Raw genomic sequence first — 20354 nt, 5'->3', positions numbered from 1 at the left:
TTACTCCTCATTGTGTCCTCCCATGAAGAGTACAGTGCCTCAGCCACAAAATTTGCTCAACTGCTCTTTTTTGAAGGAATTAATTGTGTGGCTTAAGGAAAATTCAGATTCAGGCTGGCCTATACTCAAAGTAAAGAAAGAGATATTTCCCCTTTTTTTGTTTTAAAGAATAATTAAAAAGGACACCTTTTGGCTTACATAGGAAAAATTTATAAAATTGGTCTGTATGTTTCCTGCTTATTCTATGCCTCCCAGGAAATTTACCCTATAATGTTGTCAAGGAAACACTAACTGCTTAAGTCTGGTTGAGGAGGAAGATGCCTCATTAACAAACTCAGCTTCATTATTTGGATGCTTGCCTTAAGGAGCTGGTATTCGGTGATGAAAGGTTGTTTCCATTAAGCCTTGTGTGAAAAAGTGAATGATTTGTTTAAAATAAATTTTATCTTCTATTACTTATTCCCAGTGCTGTGAACCAACACACTATGAGATGTTACATAAAAATAAACATTATTGATTTTTAGTTTAACATATTTGAACCATTTATTAATGCCAGACATACATGTTAGGTCAAATTTTCAAGCATTGATTTATTGATTGTACAATGATTAAGGTGTCAGACCTTTAATTGGAAGCATTGGCAGTATTTAACCAGAGGATGAATTTAATGTATTGTTTATTGACTATTAAATAATTTTGCATTTTTCCTTCTGATGCACTAGAAACCATGTAATATATAGAAACTTAGTACCTCAAGAGATGAGAAAATACAGAGTTGAGGAGTTTTTCTTTCAGGAGGATGTCTCATTAGTGATATATGATGGAACAGAAAATATGCTGGGCTTGGAGTTATAACACTTGGGATTTCAAAGCTTCTTTCAAGCATTCACCAGCTGTGTGATTTGGGGCAAGTCATTTATTAGTTTATTCACTCAGGCATTTTATAAAGATTTATTGTGCAAACATTATTGCTTTCAGCCATGCTTTCAAAGTGATACAGTTATACAAAAATAAGACACACTTCACCATATGTACTCTGAGATTCAGCTTTTTATATATGTAAAAATAGTATCACATCATTCATTCAATAATTGTATTATTCAATAAGTAGTTATTGAGTCTCCACTGTGTGGCAAGCTGTTCTATAGGCTGATGATAGGTATTCACCTCTTGCTGGACTCTTGACTACATTGTTCTTGCACCTTCTTTAGGTTTAAGGGTGGTTGCAATGTCTAGCTGTTGCTAGTCCCCATGTACCACCATTTCTCTGGACCCTGTAAACTATCCATACCTCTATAAATCATACCTTTATTAAATGTTCTTCTGTATAGTCTCCGAGTTTGTCAGTTTGTTCAGGTGGAACCTTGACTGATTTAGATAATTAGTTTTGGAAGGTGATTCAGAATTTTGGTATGCTAAGACCTGAATGAAGTGGGTGAGTTAAATAGGAGGATATCTACTGCTATGGTTTTAATGTTTGTCCCCTTCAAACCTCATGTTGAAATTTGACACCTAATGTTGGAAATGGTACCTACTATGAGGTGTTTGGGTCATGGGACAGATCCCTCATGAATAGATTAATGCCCTCCCTTGGGGGTGAGTGGGTTCTCTCTTTATTAGTTCCCATGAGAGCTGGTTGTTACAAAGAGCCTGGCACCTCCTCACTCTTTCACACAGCTGGCTCCCCTTGGCCTTCTGCCATAGGTGGGGGCAGCCTAAGGCCCTGCTCAGATGCAGAAGTCCAATCTTGAACTTTCTGGCCTCAGAATTCTGCACCAAATAAACCTTTTTTTTCTTTATTTAATTTTTATTACCGAGCCTCAGGTCATCCTTTATAGCAACACAAAATGGATGAGGACATCTAGAAATAAGCACCCTAAGAAGCAGGAAAAGCATGGGCAAAGGCCTTGAGATACAAGCCAAATTTTGAATATTTTTTGGAATAATAAGGACGCCATTGTGTCTGAGAAGGCAGGACAGAGGGAGAACGGCAAAAGATATAGTCAGAGAGATAGCCAAGAGCCAAATCATACAGGGCATGGCAGAGCATAGCAATAAGTTTGTGTTTTGTTTTAAGATTGCTGGGAAACCATTTAGGGTTTTGGTCAAGACAGCAATGTGATCTAACTTAAAATTTAAATGGATAGTTGGGCTACTATGTGGAGAATATATAGGGGAGAGGGAGATAACAAATTCATGGACAACAGTTAGAAAGCTATATATATATATATATTATTTTTTTCAGTTTATGTGATAGATATTATTGATATAGTACAAGGGATTAGGATGACAGGAATGAAGGTAATGAGATGTAGTCAAATTCAAGTAGTATTTTTACAATAGACTTAGTGGGGTTTGCTGATGGATTTGGACCTGAGCAACTGGGTGAATGGTGATGTCATTTAATAAGATGGCAATCACTGGGATGGGAACCTAATTTAAGGGAAGAGTTGTGATGGAATCAAGAGTTTAATTTTGCATTATTGCATTTTACATGGCTATAATACATCTAAGTGGAGATTGAAGTAGCAGTATGGATCTCAGAGGATAAGTTGAAGCTGAAGATAGAAATTCAAAATTTATCAACATGCATTATATTTAGAGCCACAGTACTAAATAAAATCATGTAGCGGGTGAAAATAAATGAAAGCCAAAAGGGAAAAGTATTTCAATAAAGATGGAGTAGTCAGCTGTGTCGACTGAAGCTTAGCGATCAAGAAATATGATGACAGAACATGAAAAATTAAATTTGAACGATAGGATGTCATTGGCAACCTTGATAAGAGGAGTTGCAGTGATGTGGTGGGCACAATAGGGCATGTCAACAGAAAGTAGTGGGAGAGGGGAATTTTGAGAAATTTTTCTATAAAGGAGATGAGAGAAATGCTTAATTTCAATATTTTGAATACAATAAATTTTGTCAAGTTTTAACATATACATAATACTTCATTAAATATTTTAAAGACTTGAAATAATTTTAAATATAACCATTTGACAGAAATGGTCATTTTACTATTTCACATTGATTCCACTGATACTGACTTTTTTTATAGACTGCTTAATGAACTCTTATGTACTCTATATTGAAATATGTTAACTTTTCCCAAAGAATCTAAAAACTAGTCCCAAATTACAAATATGCATGCATTAGTTTTCTAGGGCTCCTGTAACAAAATACCACAGACTGAGTGACTTAAACAATATAAATGTATTTTCTCACAGTTCTGGGGCTAGAATTCCAAGATGAAGGTGTTTGCAGATTTTATTTCTTCTGAGGGTGCTCTCCATGGCTTAGAAATTGCTGCCTTCTTCTTGTGTTCTCATATGGCCTTTGCTCAGTGTGCACACATCCCTGCTATCTCTTCCGCTTCTTATAAGGACAACCAGTCATATTGGATCAATCTTCTTAATCACCTCATTAAAGACCTTACATTCAAACACAGTTACATTCTTAGGTACTGAGGGTTAAGATTTCAACATCTGAATTTTCAGGGAACATAATTTAACCCATAACAATGCATAAATCTGAAATTTTAAAATGCCCATAATTGACAATTATTATAATGTTTTAAGTATTTTCATATTACATTAAGTGACTTTTTGAACAAGTGAAAGCTTAAAACCTGATATTAACTTTAAATATAACTCTCAGGTTTGAAGATCTCTTGGGTCTTGTGGGATATGCGATGCGAGAGTCAACTAACTCTTTAGAATTTTATTTGTTCATTCTTACTGTATTCGATAGCCAAATTATTTTATCATATTTTTCTTTAACATAATTGGCTGATCCTGCTCTTCAGGGATAAAAATAAGAATCCAGCAACAGCTCTGAGAAAGACCTGAAATCCTAATATCCTTTTTTTTTTTCACTTGCACACAAAGGAAGCAAGACTTACAGTATCTGAACTTGATGGCTTACACTGAGAGCCACATTATTAATCCCTATAGCTCCATCATTCAAAGTGTTTGTCAAGGGAAAAATATGCCAATTCTTGAAGCAGGAGGCCAGGGAGCAAAGGTGCAGGCGAACAACCACTATTACAAATGCAGTGCAATGTAGACTCCTCAAGTCTGAGAATGCCCTAAGTCTCACTCTACTTAGAGCTCTGACACTGATCACCTCACTCTTCCTGGAGCTCAACCTTCCCAAGCTTTAAGACTTCTGATTCACTGGCCATCCTTGGTTTACTGGGTTTTCATGCCAGGAACAGAACTTTCCAGTGTTGAAAAACTGAATCTGCACAGCTGTGTTAAGGACTGGCTAATAACCCCACTTAGGTTTTTCACACCTTGGAGAGGAAAATGAAGCTTTCATTATCTGAAATGATGTTTAAGAAATGAAGTTTCTTATATAATTAATACATACTAGTTTATTTCATTCAGCATTGATGATAAAAATTCATATGATTGAGGATACCAGTGTGAAGCAGCATGCAGTCCCTGAGCAACCACATGGCGTAGGTGCTTGCTACACTTCTACAGATTCGAGTGATAAGGAGACGATGAATCCAAATGGTTTTATGTTTGTTACTTACACAGTCAGCATAAAGAAGGCTACCATTGTTTCAGCTCCTCAGGTCCCTAGAAAGGCCAGGATTCAGATGAGACAAGTGAGGTGCTTAGGGCACAAAATTTAATAAGGTGCTCACTATCAAGATTATACAAGTGCAGGTCAGCAGTTGTATGACCCTAAGAACCAGCACCTACTTAAATTTTGCACTATAGGCACCTCACTTACCTGCTCTAATTCTGACCCTGGTCCCAATTTCCACTGGACAACACTGAACTGGATGGGTCAAATGATAGGCAACAAGAGAAGTGGGCTGTATTGTTAGGTAGGAGCCAATTCCATACTGCACCTAAGTAGTTTGATATCCTGAAGATGGACCTGGTGTAGGGAGGTGTGAGGTGTGGGAAGTCCCATGCCTCACTAGTGTGAGGGAGGCAAATAAGAAATAGCTATGTAAAAGCTCCTCATAAGACTGCCTCCTTTGTCATGTTCTGGGAGAGTCACGGGATATTCCATCAAGATTTACCAGCCTGTGGTTTAGCCTTACCTGCATCGCCAACATAGATATGTGCAGTGTCACCAGGGTACCAGGGTGAAACTGTTCACTAGGACTGGTAATTAAAAAAATACAGGTTTGGAGTCCTATGTATATGTTTTATAACCCATTTCTTAATAGCTCTATGATACTGTATGAGTCATGTAAACTATCTAACCTTTTAAGTGAGAAAATAATTAACTAACATAAGTTTATTATGGCATTAATGTCTACAAAGCACTTATAAAAGTACCTGGCACATAGCAACTGTTCACTGAGTAGTAGCTATTTTATTATCTATTAGATACAAATGATGACCTCAATATGGTATGCAATATGGTTAAATAAATTCTGTAGCCTAGTTAAAAATAAAATGATGTTTTGAGTGTTTTAATTAAACAAATAATATTTTTACAATAGTAAGTCAAAAAACTTTCTAGGAAGTCAATGTTTATACTATTTGATGTCCCCTTTTGTTGTTATCTATATAAAATATATTGAAATAAGAAAATAGACACATTTGCCAAAGATTTTACTTATACTTTGCAGATAAAATATTCAACAACCATCAAAAATATTGACTCACTTTTAGTTATCATTTGAAAGCTATGTAGTAATCATATGTCCAGAGTTCCTCAAGTATTTGTTTTATCTATTATTTTACAACATAAATGTATCCATGCACACTTATGTTCATTATGCACACCTGAGAAAATTCCTTTTGCATGAACTGATAAGCCGTGTTTAACTTGGACCTCTCTCCAAGTAGGACACTCCTTTTCAACTTACACTCAAAATAGAACATGAACTCAAACATTTTTTTACAATTGAATGATTTACATTCAATTTACAACTTACCCATTTAGAGATAAGAATATACATCTGTATACTATTTAGAGCCATGAATTCGTAATTGATTTTGAATTCAATGTGTTAAAAACTACAAAATTTATTGCCCTTTTCATTCATCTTCTACATTCTTCTTTCTCATTTTTTCTCAAGACATGATAATCACAAAGAGCTTAAAATTTTAAAAATCTGAAACTTGGCACAACTTACTTAGATAAGAAATCTTAATGATCAAACTTTACAAAATATGAGAAAATGCATTGACTAAATTGCTAAAATACTTGTTATCCACATCAGTTTCTCTATTATCCCTCTGATAGCTTCATTAAAATTTATATCATTAATATAACTTATATGCCTTTCTACAAAGAAAGACATGTATTAACTCCAAATGCACTTGGTATCTTTTTTTCATTTTAAGTATAATTGGAAATAACATTTTACATGAACAGAAACTTTTCAGTATGGTCATAGCAGAATATTATCAAACAGTGCAAGCTGTGTGTTTTATTTTCTGTAAATCTAATATTTTAGTCATTTTACTACCTAATGTTGTTCATTCCATGAGATTTTAAGACAATTTTAAGTTATGTTTTATCTTTGGATTTGATAAGGATATTAATATTCCTTGTCAATTTATACATGTGTTTGATGCTTTGTTTTAATTATACAAAGACAAAATTTACTTAAGTGACAATAAGAATGCTAAAGAACATGTAAGATCAGATAATTTAGATGAGTTGATTTTTTTTATGTTGGGCATGATGTTGGAATAAAGCATTTGAACAGGATGGAGAGGGTGGGCCTTTTACAAACAGACCCAAAAAATGCCGATATAATTAGGATATTTTTACTTTTCAGAGCCAGAAATCTATTTTAAGCTGAATTGCAGGCAGAGAGAACATCTCATTTCAAACATTCCTCAAATGATACAATCAAGGACTTAAACTCTACCATTATGTTTTTCAGATTCTATATTGCCTTAATTCTCTGGCAGGTCCCTACAATATTTGAAGCAATTTTTGTTAGCCTCTTTTGTAGCTAGAATGGGAGAGGGGAAGGAGTAGTTTCTCAAAAGGATTCTGGGTAGAGAAAAAATATATATACATTTCCATTAGAAAGGAGACCATTTAATAATTTTCTTGGTAAGTACTCCTTGTCATTTGTGACCTTTAATAGACTATGCATGAATAAATTCATTACCCATTATGTTCCTTTTCACAGTTAGCATTTCAGATAGAAACAGTTATAACACCATCCTTCCCTGTCCCCTTCCTTGAACGTTTCCATCACATGCTCATCCCAGCCCCATAATGTATTATTAAGAGTCCTCCCTTTTTCAATATAAGGGGAAAATCATCTGATTAAGTCCTAAGTGAATTAGTAGCATAAGTCCTCTTAATTATATCAAAATATTGGCCTTTTTCCTCATCATAGGCATTTAAATTTCCATTACTTCAATTGGGACTTAATTATCCTTCTTTTTTGCTTTCTTAATGCAACTATATTCCCCCCTCTTCATCCCTGTCTTTCCAACTAGATGCAAACAGATAAGAGGTGATCAGAGTCATAAGAAAGAACATTTTTAGCCAAGAAGTGTAACCATTCGATTTAACCCAAAACTCCTTTCCAGCAGCCTTTTAGCAGAGAGTTGTGTTTTTTTCATTTGGGAGGGATGAGGGACGGTTTACAACTTAAATCAGTTGCAAACACTAAAAACCTGGGTGATTTTACTTTAAAACCTAGAATTGCAACTTCTTTTGAATAAGTCATATAATCATTAGTAACCCTGGAACCAAAGCCTTAGAACTGATAGGGCTGAGTTGTAGTTGTCCCTATAAACAGGTCACAGCCTCTACAGCTTATCACACCATTTCCTATTTCCCCATTTATAAATTTAACAACTATAGTCATTACTCAAGCATGACCTTCTGTGGTTACCTATTAAAGGTTAAAAATCGATCTCTTTATATTTTTATACTCTATGTGTAGAAATAGAGTAGACCATAGTTATAATTTTTAAAATTTGCAACAGCATGGATGATCCTGGAGAATATTAGGTAAAATCAGCCAGGCACAAAAAGATAAATGTCACCTGTTCTTACTCATATGTAAGAGCTATAAAAAAAAATGATCTCATGGAGGTAGTGAATAGAATGGTGGTTACCACAGACTGGGAAGGCTAGTTGGGAGGTGGTGAAAAAAGAAGATTTGGTTAATATTTTTATCTACAGTTAGATAAAATGAATAAGATATAATGTTCAGTAGCACAATAGGGCGACTGTTGTTAACAATAATTTACTGTATATTTCATGATAGCCAGAAGAGCATATTTGGAACGTTTCCAAAACAATGAAATGATAAATGTTTGAGGTGATGGACTTAAATTTGATTATTACACATCAAATACTTACATCAAAATATCATATGTCATAAATATGTACAACTATTATGTATTCATAAAAAATAAAAAAAAATTAAATATTTTTAGGTTAAACATTTTCCATGGGTTTAATATTTTTCAAAATAGTACGTTAAACTGAAGTTTTCTTAAATTTTCTTTTTTCTGCTCTCACTTCAGCTCTTCAAAGATGAAACTTCTGCATATTTAAAAAAATCTGTTTACATGTTTTTCTTTTTATAGACTTCCAGAGTTGGAGAGAATATCTAGATGTTTAGATGTAGACTATTTGTATAGTACTACAGTGTCCAAGATTGCAAAAAAATAATAAAATAGCTGACATGCCCTAACTTTGCAGCTAAATAAATTATTACACTGTGGGACTGGGGGATTCTTCATGCTGTTGAGTAGCACTTTACAATCAACACCTCTCCCCTTTTCAGGATATCGAATCCCTAACAGGAGGGCTGGCTGGTTCTAAGGGGGCTGATCCACCGGTAAGTTAGATTCTTCATTAAATTTAACTATTGATGAATTGAATTGTGTACACACCAGATTATCAGTTGATTGCTTGTATATTATTTGTCATATGCAGGTACTTTTTATAAATACAGCTATTATAGAAACTAATAACAGAAGTATGAAATTGCTTTGAGGTGTGGGCTGGTGTTTTTATTAAAAAGTTTTAACAACTCATAAAAATTTATCTCAATTTATTGGCTTTAAAAATAGGAATAAAATCTTTATTAGAATATCTCAGTAATTTATGTTCTACTAACTGGAGAGTTTGTTTTTCTAAATATGAGTATAGTATTTGGGTTGCAATATATTTTCTAGTTACTGAGAAAAATTATGTCCATGTGATAAATAGTATTGACTCTGGACATTGTTCTTTTCTACTTAATTCAGGAAGCTTCCAGGAAATTAAAGTTTATAAAGTGTTCTAAAGTTTCTATGAATTATAATTTACAAGCAGCAACAAAAGCTTGATGTTCTATTATTGGAACATCTTAGTCCTTTCTGTGATGTCAGATTTCAGAAAACACTGATAGAGATGACATCCCTATGACTTCATGCTTGAGATCCAAAATAAATTCAAAGTATATCTAAAGTAATAAGACAGATTCAACTTATATCAACAAATAGTCAATGCATACATTTTTGTCATTACTTGCTTTTTGTTTAGCAAAATGAAATTTAATGTGGAACATACAGAACTCAGTGTTATCACTTTTTAGCTGTTCTTCACATAGGCATGTAGGTGAAGTACTTTAACTCCATTAAAACACCAGTGAGTTGTTAGAGAGATAACTTTCTGTTCTAGCTCTTTCTCACTCAGATATGTCTCACGGTGTTATCTAATTTTCATCAAGTTGCTCCTAAAGTATGGCTAAAAAATGTATTATAGTTCTTTTCCTTCTTTTTATTTTTATCATAAGTATTTATGTGGAAAAATGTATTGGCTGCAGACAGCTGCTTGTATTTATCCCCTAGACCTATTACATTACAATGTAAGGCAAGATGAAATGTAAGTCAACCCAGAAAGTATATTGACAGGATTAATGGCCAGTCTTTTACCTAAGTATTTCAGGTGAGTGCTTATGTGATGTAATTTTACCCTTCTGCCTTGCACAGTGCTTGCCCATAGAATTCAACTTACATCAGAAAAGTAGATCTACTACCTTCAAAATACTTCCCTCAACTGTTCACTGATTCCTGGAAGAATTCTACAGTTAGAGATTAGTTGGTTTCAAAGGATTTGTCTCTTGTTCAAAGCAAAATAAAATATCTGTCTTCTGCTAAGTACTGATAAAGATCTTATCCATTATTTACATGTTAAAATAAGTTAGTTTGTCATACCCTCTAAGAAAGCATGTTTCTAAACATGAAAGATTGAATGGGTATGTGGCCTAGTTGTTGAAAAAATCCTTTTGCAGGGAGAAAATAAAGGTCACAGAAAGGAAAAATGGTATCCTGAAGGCAAACGACATCAATGTCATTCCCAATAAATAAAAGTGAATAGGCATGAGTTATACAACTTTATCTCTCTCTCTCTATATATATATGTGTGTGTGTGTGTGTGTGTGTATGTGTGTATAGTATATCAATCTATATATGTATACTTAGATAGATAGATTTTTTTCTTTTAAAACAACTTATAATATTGTGAAGAGGATAGTTCTTTCTTGGCTGTGCTATACCATGATGGTTATTTTATACTTACGTTTTCTGAAGTTTCAATGATTGTGCTTATTTTATAACATTTTGTAGAGTGGAAAACATTATGAACATTTCAGAGTGCATAAGGGCTTAGCTAATCTAGGGGTTCAGTAGTACACATTAATTTAGTGTCTCCCATTGTTAAGGAGCTATCTAGAACATACTGCCGGGAGCTATGTAACAGTCATTTTCTTTAGCCCTAAGTATCTAAGGTATCTAGGTATTTAGCCCAATAGTATCTAGGGTTACTTCCATTATTTAAGAATAAAGCAATGAATGAAGCTATTGTTTTTGCCTCCAAGTTAGAAAACTGAAAGTCAGATTAAATTATACATAATCTAAATCAATTTCAAGTTTTTAAAATAATTTTCTCCTTTTTAAAATTAAAAAAAAATTTTTTTGAGACGGAGTCTTGTTCTGTCTGTCACCCAGATGGGAGTGCAGTAGCCTGATCTCACTGCAGCCTCTGCCTTTTGGGTTCAAAGGGTTCTCCTGCTTCAGCCTAGCGAGTAGCTGAGATCACAGGCATGCGCCAGCATGCCCAACTAATTTTTGTATTTCTAGTAGATACAGGGTTTCACCGTGTTGGTCAGGCTGGTCTTGAACTCCTGACTTCAAGTGATCTGCCTGCCTTGGCCTCCCAAAGTGTATTTTTTCCTTTCTCTAAAAAATGTCATTTTAATAGATCATCAAAATACTATTGTCTACTTCAAAAGCTATGCTTTTTCTAGAAACCATTCTATGATGATGTTTTCATTGGTAAGAAATTCAAAGTCTTATATTTTTTCATTTATTGAACAGAATACATCAAGTATTGAGTGAATGATCTCTCATAAGGATGCATAGCTGTCAAGTAATTTCTTTGCCAGTGTAATAGAAATCTCAGAGGTATATTGAAATGTTAATGGTATGTTTAAAATTGCAAATTTTGCTGTGGGTACACATAAATGTTATTTCTGAAGCATTAGAAAAAAGAGTGAAGTTTGTTATTTCAAATGGTAAGGCATATATAGAAGGTTGTGTCAAATTTGCAAATGTCATTATAAGTAAATTTGCATATCTGGTAAGAATAAATTTGAGAACTCTAGGAGAATTTTGTATTAATATTTTTAACAATAAGTGTTAAATAGATTTTATTGAAAATTCAATAGATTTTATTGAAAATTCTCAGTTTTAATGTTAATAAAGAAAAAGAAAATCACTCATTCATGATTTTCAAGGGTGATTCAAAATTTTACAAATGGCCTGTTTCTGAAAAGGATTTTAATTCAGAAACTGTAAATTAATTGTAGCAGCAAACACAACTTGCAGATTTTTCCAAATCACATAATTATTTTAGAAAATAAATGCTTTTATCATTGGAGAAAAAAATAGTATCTGTTAAATATTAACTTAAAGCTGTCTTTGAAAATTATATCAAAAGATATTCTATATTTGGCATATGTTTCCATTCATAAAAATTTGATCACAGATTAACCTCCAGCATAAGAGCATAGAATTTATATTTACATAGAAGTACAAAGGAAAAGAAACTAGATAATCAAAATTGAAAGTGCAAAATTCGTTATTAAATTAAATAGTGCTTTGTAAATATACCACTTTGTCATAGTGTTTTATGTTTTAAATATGAGCAATATTAAAATGTAAAAAACTTGGGAACTGTAAAGAATCAAAGTGCCCCACATTGTCAGCCAACCCCTGGCAAGGCCAGGGTAAAGTATATCCATGTCTGGTACCTATGGCCAAGAGGACTTTGAATACTGAAGTACTGGGGTGCAATGCATGAACTCTGTTATGTATCTGTAAAGCATGAACCTGCTATCTGGAGAGCTGTAGTTGTGCAGGTCAGTGTGTAACCAGCAGTGTGAAGGATCCCTTCTTGTGTTGAACCCATGAGCCAGTAGGAGAGAGGTGTAATTTTTAAGACAACCCCTGCCCTGGTGCCAGAATTGTCTGTAGACTGTGGACTAGGTGTAAGTCAACAGGTAGGATTTAGTGGATCAGCTTGGCCATACGAGTTAAGTTTAGTGATAACAGACTCAAGCAGAGTCTGTATATACACAATGAAAGGTGTTTCTCTTTGCAATTTGGTTTAGGAAAATATTTTGATTGTTATGTAGCTATTTACTTTCTTATTATTTCTGATGTTTTTTAAGGGCTGATATTGACAAAAATCTAATAAAGAGACTACATGAGACATTCCAGAGCATGTTTCGTTGTAACATACATTGGTCAAATGTGAAGATGTTTCATTGTATGTTACAAAATGTTATTATCAGGATTTAAATTAAATCTACTTCATTGCCTCATATAGTAATTATAGCAAGAATACCACTGAAGGTATTCAGTTTCTTCCTTGTTTTCTTTCTATTTATTTCTTTGGAATAATAAGATCTATACATTTTGCTCCCTATAGAACTTAATACTTTTAAATGTTCTAAGTTTAGTTTTTTTCCTAAATGCTAATGGTTCTCTTTATTTCTAGAGTGTGATGAATAAGTGATTACCCATCTAATTCATATCCTTGGGCTTGATATGCACACTGTCCTGAACATTCTTAAGCTCTATTAGGTTTTTTTTCCCCACTGAGGAAACAGAATTGTACTTTCTGTTCTCATTTTAATTGTCTTCCTGATGGTCCTTAGCAATTTAGATAAACACACCACAGAATTTAAAACAATTTCAATTTTCTGAGTGTGCTGTTTAGACCAAATTATATATATTTTAAATTGTAAATGGTCTTAGAGTTTAAAAATCTACAAAACTGATTTTAATTTGATTATTCAAAAGTGACAATGTTCTACTCATTTACTTCAACAGATAAGATAATAAAATAATATTAATCTGAATCGTGTCCTAATTTAAATTATTTCAACCTTATATTGTTGTATTTCAACCTTATATTGTTATATTATTTCCTTTCATTTTCCTATTTGTTTATTTCAAATTCAATATATATTTGAGTGTACACTATGTGCTAGGCTGTACTATAGCATTTGGTTAGGTTTTGGAGACACTGATAATCAATACACAGTTACTCATTTCAGAATCTTACAATATACTTGAATGAACAGTTTGGCAAAAACCAATTATAATATCATGTAAGCACAAGATGAGATGAAAGCAAGTAAGAGTATCACATAATGCAATTGATGGGAATAGAAAGGGGCTGGAGAAACAAGCAAGGCAAATAGAAAATAATAATTTATTTCTTGCCAATTGTAGAATGAATTGAAGTTCGCCAAGTGATGGGGGGACCATGGTATATTCAGCAGAGGAAACAGCATCTGCATAAGTAAAAAATGAGAAAATAACGTCATGTAGTAAAGTATAAAATAACCTGGGCATGGCAGATAAAGGTGAGATAGAAGGCTAGAAAGTTAAGCCTGGGCAAGAATATGATAAATTACATGGAAGGAATTTGTACTTTATACTAAAGACCAAAGGGAAGCATTGAAGTCTTTAAACAGAAGAGTCAACGAGATCTTCCCTTTAGAAACATTTTCTTGTTACCAGTTGGAGAGCGAATTAGAGAAAAGACTAAAGCAAAGAGACCTATGAAAAGACTTGCAGTCTTTCTTCCAAAGGATAGTGATGAAAATGATCATGGTGACTTTTTTTTTGTCTGTCTCCCTAGATTATAACAATAACTGAGGGCAATATCACAGGAGAAACTTGACATTATTTTTTAAAAAAATTAGATGGTTAATAAAAGCCTGTAAGGTGACAACAAGAATGGAGAAGAATGGATTGACTCATGAGATACTGAGAACATGGTGAACATACAAGAATAGGTGGTTGTTTGGAAGCAGACTGAGGCCTATTGAGAAGTCAAGGCTGATATTGGAACTTTCTGGTTTGGCAATTGAGTGGATGAAGGTACCATTCATCGTGACAAGAAACCAACGAGATAGAGCATTTTCAAGGGGGAAATGAGGGATTCAGTTTTAGACATGTTAAGTTGAGCTGAGTTGGGAATATATGAATGATTTGGAAATTTAAAGGTGAGGTCTCATTTAAAGCTATTTATTTGGACATGTAGAAGACTTAATTAAAGCTATTGGAGTTGATGACATCATCCTCCCAAAAAACATGTATATAGAGTTATAAGATGAGAGAGTTCAGAATAAAGCCTGAGAAAGAAAAGCACTTAAGTAAAGGTCAGAGGAAGAATGTGCCTCAAAAAAGACAAAACAGAGATGGGTCCAAGGATGGGATACCAGAAATGTGAGAATCATTAATGCCAAGTTAAAGAGAGGATGGCAAGAGGGTTATTAGCAGTTTCATGATGTTGAGAGTTCACAAACTATGTTCATTGTATTTAACAAGAAGAAATTATCTTGGTGAGAGTAATTGTAGTAGAGTAATTTAGGTAAAATCAAGTTTCCAGGGGCCTGAGAGATTAAATGGAAGACTAACAACTGTATTCAGTGACTGTAGAGAACTATTTTAAGAGCTTGGTTATGCAGGAAGTCAGAGGAAGCAATAGCCAATAGAGGAGATGGGATTGAGGCACAATTATTTTAAGGAGATAAGATTTGAGTGTGTTTTGTCATTACCTGTGTGCTTGGTTTAAGCATTTCAGAACCAAAATATTTCCAGGTACTAGTAAATTCCAGATTGTGGTCATAGACATGGGTGATGAAATAAAGAGGGACTGAGGCTAATTGGAATTGATGATATTAAGGAACCGGGAGGCCACAGTGTTGGATGAATCATTTTTGTGGGCCCTGCAATGTTTTCTATCTACATTCAGGCCCTTGATGGCCCAATCTATTTCACAGCATAAGTTCTACTTAAATAATAATAACTGAAAAATTTATATTTCCAGGTTAGATCACTCCCTTGAACTTCAGATTTGTGTATATGACTAAACATTTGACATGTCCACTTGTATATCTGATAGGAATTTAAAACATAACAAGTTAAAAATTGAACTTCTGATTCCCTCTATCACTCTTACAAACCTCCTGCTATTTTCCCCTCTCAGTTAAGGGCTACTTCATGCTACCCTTCTCAAAAGCCAAACACTTAAAGTCATAATTCGGCTTTGTCTTCACAATTTATTTAGAATCCTCCAAAACTACCACTGTGTTTAAAGCCACCATTCTTTCTCATCTGTCCAGTCTCTATGAACCAAGGACAGGTTTTATGAAATGTAAATTGCAATATGTTACATTTAGCCTTAAAGCTATGTTAGCTTCCCATCACAATAAAATTCCCAAAGCTCATGGAGTGGTTTCTGAGACTCTTCATTACTTCCTTCCCTTACGATGATTCTAGGAACTCACCTTCTACCTTTTTCTCCATAGCTTATCCACTTAGGCTGCACTAGCCATTGCTGTCCCCTTTACCCAGACAAGTTTATTACTGGTAAGGGACAATACGCTTGTCATTTTTCCTTCTTTGTGCCATGCTGTCCCCTCAGATATCCTCATGGCTTACTGCCTCACTTTCTTTAGGTCTTTGTTTTATTGTCACTTTAACAGAGTTTTCCGTGAACACTCAATATTATTTTTTCTGATCCTATAGGATGATTGTTTATATTTTTCTACTAGAATATAAACTTTACATAGTTACAAGCCTTGTCTCTTTCTTTCACTATTATAGAATAAAGATTTATAATACTTGGCATATGAGTTCCTCAATAACTATTGGTTGAATGAATGAATTAGAACAGATGTTAATGAGCACACGATTTACATGGACATATTTGTGTGCTCACAATGATAACTCTAGCAGCATACTGCATGGAAAAAGGAGATTGAGGGTATTATAATAATTCTGGAATAAAATTACAAAGGTGAACTTCAGACTATAGTAGTGGTAGTAAAAATGACAATAGCAAATGAAAAAAAACTTACAAAATCAGTATTAATAGAATTTTATGGTAGGGAAAGAAATAGGACCCAGGGAAACCTTTAAATGTTGACCACTGGAAGAAATAACAGTAGAGAAAATCAAAGGGACAAATTTAGAATGCCGTATGTCTTAGTTACATTGTTTAACATCATTGGAATAGAAACCTTATGAGAGCAGAAATTTCTGTCTGGTTTAATGCTGGACCACCAACGCTGGCACATAGTATGCCTTCAATAAGTATTTAATAAACATAAATTAAACAAGAATGATGATGATAACAGGTCTCAGATTGTAATAGTGTGAACCAGTAATTGAAAACTTCAAAAAATGCAGGAGTTAAAAAATGTGAAATGAGGTTTCCATTGTTGAATCATAGTTATCTTTAAAACCCCAAAACATAGTGCCATTGATGATAAGTATCCCCACATTCTTTGGAGAAGTGTTAGACATATTCACCACAGACTTGTAATAATGGCAGCATCAGTCCTGCCACTATGAATCACCACTATTATTCTCTCTTAGAGAAGACCAGATGACTCATTAGCAGAGAGCTGTCAGCTGGTAGGGAGTACTGCAGGGTTTTTACTCTGTGGAGGGAAGTGTGTGCTTCTCCTTAGCCAAATGAGGGTGGACCCAAAGCAATGACTCATAGAAAGAAGCAGTGGTATTTTCGTATTTTGATATTTTTTCAGCAATATATCAAGTACTTCCATGGGTTAGATGTAAGGTAAGAGAAGAAATAAATTAATGTGCATTCCTTGGAGTTTGCGGACATGCAAGACCACTGAATCAGATGTTTGTTTCTTCTCCAGTAAATTTGGGAGGTAGAAGTCTGGTTAAGCTAACCTAAATTAGGCCAGTGAGAAAGAATAGCAGTAAGAGTGGTCTTTACAACAAGAATTTGGTGTGTCAAAGGTACATGAGCTTCCCATGGGCCAGACTGATGAAGTAGAAGGATAATAGAACCCTTTATATGATGACTGCCTGCTAGGGCAATGGGATCCAGTATTAAGAATTAATAGGATGTCAGCTGTTTTGCCAAGAATATAAACTGAAATGTGAGGTGGTGGCAGGAGGCAAATGGTTAGTCAGAAAGCAAATAGCAATTGCCTATGTCAATGATCTGTGTAGCATGGGATGTCCCCATGGGAGGACCTCCAAAGAATCCTCTAATGAGTCCCAATTTAGAAGTCCAGTATTTTGGCACCTGGAACATAGAAGTCACCAGTCTTATAAAACTTTGCTTTTTTTCCTGTAACCCACTTTCATATCCCTGCCCCAACCTAGAAGAAAGACCTATGAAGCAGATAGAATGCAGGTGAAAAAGTGGATCATCTTCCTCTTTTCTAGTAGTTCAAGGTGGGGTGATCAGAAAAGTTCTCTGTTAAATAAGTAACTTAAATTTTGGTGGTGGGCTGTACTGGATATTCTGAACTTGAAAATGGTCTGGATATCCACAATGAGATTTATTCCTGTAACTCTAAGTGACTGGAAAGTTATGAATCTGCTCAAGCTGAAGTCCAGACATGTAGAGGGAATATATGACAAAGCCTGTTTAATAACAAGATTGATGAAAGATGAAGGTATTATTTATTTGGGATCTGTTACTTGATTGTAGTTGCTTGTTTGAATTGAAGTCATTTCATTAACTAACTTCATTTACATGTTAAAAAGACCATGCCATTTTTAGTTATTAATGATGGGGAGGAGTAACAGGAGGAATAGTCAGATGGTGTGAGCACCAAAGTAGAGATGGTTCTACTTTAGAATGGAGGAGTAATGGGTTGGAAATTCTAATGGTTTTCAAGAAAGGTGCTAACACTGCTTTCTGAAGTTAAGTGAGCTGAGGAATTTGGAAAAGCATCCTATTGGTGCAACCTATGAAGCCATTTAAATCTATTTTCGTTGAGGTAAAGTGATGATGGGCTCCTTCAACAAAGTGATAAAATAGGAAAGATTGTTTTATGTAAAATAGAGGTTTCAAAGGCACAGTGAAAAGTCTGAGGGGAAGATATAGTGGAAAGTAGGTAAAAGAGAAAAAGCACAGAACACTAGGATAAACATGCTGGAGAAGCTTGGTGATGTAGAATGGTTAACATTTTGTATATGCCCCAAAGATGATAAAGGGTAACTGCTAGGAAAGTTTCCAAAATAATTAGTGTCAAGTGTACACATAGAGTCAGTTCAGACTACAATTTATTAAAAGTTAATAAAATTATAGAAAGTATACAATATTGTGTGCAAACCATATTTTATATAAACCTTTGATTTCAATTTCTTGTAATCCTTGCAAAATAGCATAAGATGTAGTGGTGTAGAGTGTGGACTCTGGAAAGTCAGCCTCAATTTGATTTTTGACTCAACCTCTTGATAGCTGTTTGTAACCTTGAGCAAATTTACTTTCTTCTTTGTGCCTCTATTTCTTTTTCTTTTTTTTATTTTTTATTATACTTTAAGTTTTAGGGTACGTGTGCACAACGTGCAGGTTAGTTACATATGTATACATGTGCCATGCTGGTGTGCTGCACCCAGTAACTCGTCAATTAACATTAGGTATATCTCCAAATGCTATCCCTCCCCACTCTCTCCACCCCACAACAGGCCCCGGTGTGTGATGTTCCCCTTCCTGTGTCCATGTGTTCTCATTATTCAATTCCCACCTATGAGTGAGAACATGTGGTGTTTGGTTTTTTGTCCTTGTGATAGTTTGCTGAGAATGATGGTTTCCAGCTTCATCCGTGTCCCTACAAAGGACATGAACTCATCATTTTTTATGGCTGCATAATATTCCATGGTGTATATGTGCCACATTTTCTTAATCCAGTCTATCATTGTTGGATATTTGGGTTGGTTCCAAGTCTTTGCTATTGTGAATAGTGCTGCAATAAACATGCATGTGCATGTGTCTTTATAGCAGCATGATTTATAATCCTTTGGGTATATACCCAATAATGGGATGGCTGGGTCAAACAGTATTTCTAGTTCTAGATCCTTGAGGAATCGCCACACTGAATTCCACAATGGTTGAACTAGTTTACAGTCCCACCAACAGTGTAGAAGTGTTCCTATTTCTCCACATCCTCTCCAGCACCTGTTGTTTCCTGACTTTTTAATGATCACCATTCTAACTGGTGTGAGATGGTATCTCATTGTGGTTTTGATTTGCATTTCTCTGATGGCCAGTGATGATGAGCATTTTTTCATGTGTTTTTTGGCTGCATAAATGTCTTCTTTTGAGAAGTGTCTGTTCATATCCTTCGCCCACTTGTTGATGGGGTTGTTTTTTTCTTGTAAATTTGTTTGAGTTCTTTGTAGATTCTGGATATTAGCCCTTTGTCAGATGAGTAGATTGCAAAAATTTTCTCCCATTCTGTAGGTTGCCTGTTCACTCTGATGGTAGTTTCTTTTGCTGTGCAGAAGCTCTTTAGTTTAATTAGATCCCATTTGTCAATTTTGGCTTTTGTTGCCATTGCTTTTGGTCTGCCTCTATTTCTTAAACCATGTGATTATGATGAAAACAGGATCTTTTACAAGATGGTTCTATTTAATGAGCCAGCAATGTAGAGTGCTCCAAACCTGCCTGGCAAACGCAAGTCCTCTCTAAATGTTTACCACTGTAACTGCTATGATATAGAACTACTTAAGCATCTATATTTCAACACAATCAAACTACTTAGAGGGCACATGCAAATGTAGTTTTCCATAATCAAAAATTTAAATTATGTTAAATATAGAAGTGAGCAAAGAAATAGGAACTTTCAGACTAACACCTGAAAGACCTAAAAGTTAAGTTTATGCTAACACTGAGTGTTACGTGTTACAAATGTGGGAAGCATTTTGGAAATATCTTAACATATTGTTTAATCATTCTGATGATTAATGTGATAGAAAACATTTTAGAAATAATTTTTTGCTGTATCTGTCAAATTATTTGAGAAGCTCTGAGTAATGAAACAACTCTGGGTTAGAAAAAGAGT

At 34.4% G+C, this 20354-nt stretch overlaps 1 protein-coding gene across 41 annotated transcripts in view; it reads left to right on the top strand.

Moving 5' to 3' along the window:
* PPFIA2 (PPFI scaffold protein A2) overlaps positions 1-20354 on the top strand; it is a 501376-nt gene that overhangs the window by 73768 nt on the left and 407254 nt on the right. For 35 of the 41 annotated variants that reach the window (XM_024449242.2, XM_017020107.3, XM_024449240.2 and 32 more), the window contains one exon: positions 8739-8792. The exons of the other annotated variants lie outside the window; for them this stretch is intronic. In XM_024449242.2, the coding sequence (XP_024305010.1) occupies positions 8739-8792 (54 nt within the window). The remainder of the gene's footprint in view (positions 1-8738; positions 8793-20354) is intronic. 41 annotated transcript variants of the gene reach the window in all.

Source organism: Homo sapiens, chromosome 12, assembly GCF_000001405.40.
Source record: "Homo sapiens chromosome 12, GRCh38.p14 Primary Assembly".
Lineage (NCBI taxonomy): Eukaryota > Metazoa > Chordata > Mammalia > Primates > Hominidae > Homo > Homo sapiens.
The sequence above is the reverse complement of the archived record's forward strand: the minus strand, read 5'-3'. Positions and strand labels throughout refer to the sequence as shown.